The sequence below is a fragment of the Homo sapiens genome, chromosome 11, assembly GCF_000001405.40.
Source record: "Homo sapiens chromosome 11, GRCh38.p14 Primary Assembly".
NCBI lineage: Eukaryota > Metazoa > Chordata > Mammalia > Primates > Hominidae > Homo > Homo sapiens.
The window spans coordinates 134,610,094-134,615,745 of record NC_000011.10 but is presented as its reverse complement, the minus strand read 5'-3'; the positions used below and the strand labels follow the sequence as shown (position 1 = coordinate 134,615,745).

Genomic DNA, 5,652 nt, shown 5'->3' with positions numbered 1-5,652 from the left:
CTTCCTCAGAAAACACAACCCAGTCACCCCTGGAAGGAGGAGGCAGCCTCACAGTCATGCGTGGGACCCAATCCAAGAGTTCTCCCTCCACAGATCCCCCATTCACACACACACACACACACATTGCACCTCAAAGTGTGAGCCTGGGTGTAACACAAAGGTGCACAGCATCCCTCTGTGGTAGATGCCATCTCACTGGGCTGGACATATGCCTACTCAAGACAGAAAACCAGGAGGCAAGGGGCCCTCAGAGCCCAGAGGGTGCTGGGCTGAGACACATGCAGCCCTGTTGTGTGGTAGAGGAAAACCCTCCCCTCTGAGCAAGGCTGTGGTGAGGCAGCCACCCAGGAGGTGCCACCTTGAGCAAGCAGACCATCAGCCTTATGCTGCAGTGAGGGGCTCTGCTCCCATCTAGCCAGAAGTATGCATCTTCCACACAGCAAGCAGCTCCCCACACAGACTCACCCATAGCCCTCTCTGTGCCATGCACACAGTGAGCACTGAGCCCACGGCGGTGAGCCAGCTGGAGGGAGAGAATAAGGGAGAGGAGGCAAGGACAGCACCCTGCCCTGAGAGCTGAGGGGCCCCACCTCACCACACACACAACCCTGTGGAAGAAAAAAGCCACACCTCGATTGAGACTCCAACGGGAGAAAGCAGCTCACAAACCCCTGCAAACCCAGAAGATGGAAACGGGAATGCACAGGGCTGAGAGCCTAAGACGGAGCCTGCCATGCCCTGCAAATGGACAGAGTGTCCCTCTCAGGCTCCTGGAGGTAGCTTTTTGCTATTTTATTGATTTGATCAGACATTTATTGTTCACAGTTCTGGAGGCTGGGAAGTCTAAGATCAAGATGCTAGTGGGTTTGGTGTCTAGTGAGGGTCTACTTCCTGGTTTATAGATGGCTCCTTCTCACTGGGTCCTGACATGGTGGAAAGAAGATGAAGGAGCTCTCTGGGGTCCCTTTTATAAGGACACTTATCCCAATTATAGGGGCTCCACCCTCATAAACTAATTACCTCCCAAAAGTCCCACTACTTAATACCATCACCTTGGGGGTTAGGATTTCCAACATGAATGTTGGGGGGACCGAAACATTCTGTTTATTGCACTTGCTCAGAATTGTCAGTTTCACTCCAGATGAACTTCTGTCCTTTTCTATGTCAGAAGGGGTACCATGTAATCCACCTTGCCACTGAGCAGCTGGCTGGCCTCTTCAAGCAATGCAGTATCAGGGACTCTGTTGGTTTCTGTTGCTACCAGGCTGGATATATGGCAGTGGTGGTAGCTATATATGCTTGGGCGAGTGGAGCCCGTGATCTGGCTGCCTGCATAGCCTCCATCCCTGCCATCCCTGCTACTCTACTCAGGTGCTCATTGTCCTAGCCCTGGTATGGCTGATGAAGGAGGCTGGTTGACTTCAGCTGGAGAGGTCACTCTGTCTTCTTGCTTGTCTTGCACCTCTCCTGTGGTGGCTGCTCCTTGGTGGATGTTGGTAGGTTAATTCCATGCGTCTGCCATAGGTCCATCCACGTGATGCTTCCTAGGCCTCCTTGTTCTAACCCTACTGTTTTTCCTCTTCCTGGGCTCTGAGCAACCAGTCAAGCCTCCCGCCACTGACCATCACGAGACCACAGCAGTCTCGGCCTCCCTCCTTACCACAAGGCAGATGGCTAGACGCATCACTTAGAGCTCTTCCCTGGGGGAGGCTTTCTAGTCACCACTGTCTTCAACGACACCCTGAGTGGTCCTTCATCCTTTCTGTCTTGCACCTGCCCAAGCATCTATAAACCAAGTTTGGCTTTCTCAGACTCTGCCAAGTGGTCCCAAGGGATTACCCACAAAGCCATGCGGGGACCGGCAGCAGGGATGCTGGCGCCACAATGGTGAACGATGTGGGTGCACCTGCTTGTGCAGCTCCCCAGTGCTCTCTGGCCCCACAGTCTCCTGATCCTGAATATGCCGCATTCACACCATGCTGTGATCTATATGACAACGGAGTGCTGCTGGACCCGCCTGATGGTAGGACTTAGTGGGTCTGATACAATCCCACTCATGTTGTGTGTCCTGGGCACATGCGAATGTGTTATCCCACAGGTAGGCACCCCATCTCTTCCAGGGCCCAGAAGTAAGCCAAGAGCTCTTTTTCAGGTGTGTATATAATTCTATATTTTATTCAAATAGCATGTCCTTGCTTTAAAACCCTGGGTGTCTCCATGTGATCCCCCTGATGTGGCCTACTGAGAACCGCACACCACCTTCCTTTAGACCATACTCCATAGATGGGTAGAGGGGAATTGTGGATGTTCATTGTAGCTGCCTGAGAGCCTCAAGACTGCACAGGGGCTGTGTTTCTTCTTGGTGGAGGGAAGCACAAGGTGCAATAAGTTGTTCTCAAGTTTTGGAGAGGATGCTCTGGCCTGTCCCAGGCCCCTAAGAACAATTCACTGCTATGCAGAAAATCCTTCTTACCCATGTATTTCTCTTCTTTCTTTCTTTCTTCTTTTTTTTTTTTTTAACAGAATCTCACTCTGTTGCCCAGGCTGAAGTGCAGTGGCGCGACCTTGGCTCACTGCAACCTCTGCCTCCCAGGTTCAACCAATTCTCATGCCTCAGCCTCCCACGTAGCTGGGATTACAGGCATGAACCACCACACTCAGCTAAATTTTGTATTTTTTAGTAGAGACTGGGTTTTGCCATGTTGGCCAGGCTGGTCTCAAACTCCTGACCTCAAATGATCCGCCCACCTCAACTTCCCAAAGTGTTATGATTACGGCATGAGCCACTGTGCCCAGTACTTCTACTTCTTTTACTGGAGAACAACCCTTTGCTCAAGCTTCCAGCCAGTCTAGCAGCATATGAGCGCCATTTCCCGGGGACTGCGCCCTGATATAAAATTCTGTTTCAGGGAAGTTTGCCTCTATATCAATAATGCTTTTTCTTATCCAACTTTATATCCAACTCAATCCTCTTTGATCCAATACATTCAGAGCTAGCCCAACAGCCCCCAGAGCCTGCAGTGCACATTGGCTGGGTGCTACGGCTGTGTGCATCTCATGCTGCCCCTTCCTCACCAGGCTCAGCATGTGCACCATGTGACTTAGCCCCAGTATTGGTATGATGCTCGGGAGAGGCAGAGATAGACCATGGGGTATCTGTTGTCTTGCAAAGCAGCAGCCTGCACGGTGTCTGCGAGGGCTAGCCTTCTGCTGGGAGGAGGGGCTACTGCTGTAGGTCCAGAGGGTGAATCCAGAGAAAGCTGGATTCAATATTTCAAGGGCACTGACTTAAATATCCTCACCTTGGCTTCAGGGCTCCACCTCTTTCTAATCAGGGCCCTGAACATGGCAAAGAAGTCCTTCAGGGTTGGAAATTCCAATGCTCTGGAGCTCTGTTACTCACGGGATGTCTGTGCCTCATCCTCAGCCTCTCCTGCCCTCTGCTGAAGGCAAGTGTCTCTGTACACGGTGCTGGGGAGGCACTCTGGATTTCACACTCTGCTTTTTATCAGTGATTAATCTGTTTCTGCCTTTGATCATCTCTCATCGCTTCTCCACCTTTTGGCTAAGATCAAGTGTAGTATCTGATCATCTCTCTCCCATGCATTGGCTCCCAACAAGAGCTATCCAGTTCCATAGTCCTTAATAACTGGGACTGCAAGACAAGCCAGCAGACAGAGTGACCTCTCCAGCTGAAGTCAACCAGCCTCCATCATCAGCCATGCCAGGGCTAGGACAATGAGCGCCCATTTCTCAGATTCCTGGATGGCTCTTCCTAATGGTTACAAACACACCCAGGAATGTGTTCCTTTCCACAGTCCCCCAGCCCGGATCACCACCAGTGAAAGTGTAAACAATCACACTGCAACCTCATGAGACGGCCCACCAGTGCTCCACCACCAGCAGGCCCACCAGTGCTCCACCACCAGCAAGAGGCCCACCAGTGCTCTACCACCAGCAAGAGGCCTGTCGCCAGCCCCCAGCAAATGATGCTTCCCCTAAATCCCATTTCCAAGTCTGCACCCTAAGACTACATCCTGTACTAGTCGATGTGGGCGGGGTTCCCAGGGAAGCAGACTCTGAGCCTCTGAGACTCACGTAGGGAATTACTGAGAAGGGTGGGAATTATTGAGGGAAGCCAGACCGGGTGGGCACGGGGACTGAACTGGGATGCAGCTGCCAAAGAGGTTTTGGCCAGTCTTGTCAGGTGCTCTGGGGCTGGGATGACCCTTCGGCGTATTCCTGTTAAGGCAAGGAAGCCTTTGTAATACTGAAATCATGAGTCATATGATGTGGCTGTTCCCAGGGAGGTGGGTAAACTTGGGAGGTTAATCTGCCTTCAGAAAGGGGTCACTGCTGGAGAAGGCATGGTGATACGCCAACAGCCAGCTCTTGTGGAGCTGGGCATGTGTGTGATAGTCCTGAGGGGGCCCAGGCAGTGCTATGACACCCCTTGTAGAGGTGAGAGGACCAGAAGGCCTCATGTCCCACCTTGTTGGAGAGCATCATGGAACCCATGACAGTGTCCGAACTTCAGAACCAGACCCAGTGAGTTCCCATCCCAGATCCTCCAAAGGGAAAAATACAGCAATAGGGGTCCCCACACCTCTGGCTCGGGCTGTTGTAAAGATTCACTATGTACAATGATGTATTAACAGCCTGCCTTAGGCCAAACACAGACCCACCTCGTGCTCTCAGGGAGTCTTTAGAACGGTGGGAGGGCATAGAAGAGAAGGCAGGCAACTCTCAGAAAGTGTGGGGATGGGAAACACGGCAAGCTCAGGGGCTTGGAGAAGGGGCCCTGGGTTGAACCTGAGGGCAGACGGGAGCTTCTCCCAAGAAATGCTGGGGAAATGCCTGCAAAGTGTCTGGGACTCATTAGCTTCTCAATAATAAAACCCATGGACCGCACGATTCAAAAACTACCAAGCTGGTTTCCCATGGCTTTGCCTGTCTCCTGGGATGTTAAACACGGTTCCGTGTGCACCAGGCCTCGAGGCAGCCAGGGAGACCCCCCATGGGGACTGGCCTGGCTCTCTGGAGCTTTCCATCTGCCTAAGACACTGTCTGAGAAAGGCAGTCCTCAGGGGCCGCACCACAGCTCCTGAGGCTCACACGGCTGCGGAAAGCCAGGCCCGTGCTGCTGGGTGTAGGGCCCAAGCTCCCGGTTCTGCTGTAGCTGCCAGCGATGGCGGGAGGAAGGGAGTGTGGCTGTGGGGAGGGTGTCACAGCAGCCCGAGGGATGCCAAGCCTCCTAGCGCAGGCAGAAAACAGGAGCTAGATCCCTTGTCAGGCACAGGTAGGCTGATAGTGTGTTTGCACAAAGACAGCAAAATGTTACGAAAAGCTAATGCTGAATGAGAGAGATTCAGCACCTCCAGCCCTCAGGGAAGCCGGCAGCCCCCCGGGCGTGGAGCTCCCAGACGGATGGCACCCCTCTGAACTGACAGAGCTTTCTGTGGGCCCCTGCAGGCTGTAGGGAGGGCAGGCAGGAGGGGACAAGTGGGAGAGTAGGCTGAGGGGCTTAGCCGATGTGTCCTTTCCAGGGCCATCTGTGGAAGAGCTGCAGGTAACGTTGGGGCCTCTGCTCCTGACATCTGCAGTCCCGGGCACACACTGATGCACGGCTCTTCTTGAGAGCCCCTCACTCTG

General features: G+C 53.1%; 1 annotated feature.

Moving 5' to 3' along the window:
- Nucleotides 466–967: an enhancer, noted in NCBI's record as "H3K4me1 hESC enhancer chr11:134484673-134485174 (GRCh37/hg19 assembly coordinates)". NCBI's record gives its function as "activates a minimal SCP1, AML or CMV promoter by ChIP-STARR-seq in primed H9 embryonic stem cells {active_cell/tissue: H9 hESC(primed)}" and the evidence as "EXISTENCE:reporter gene assay evidence [ECO:0000049][PMID:30033119]".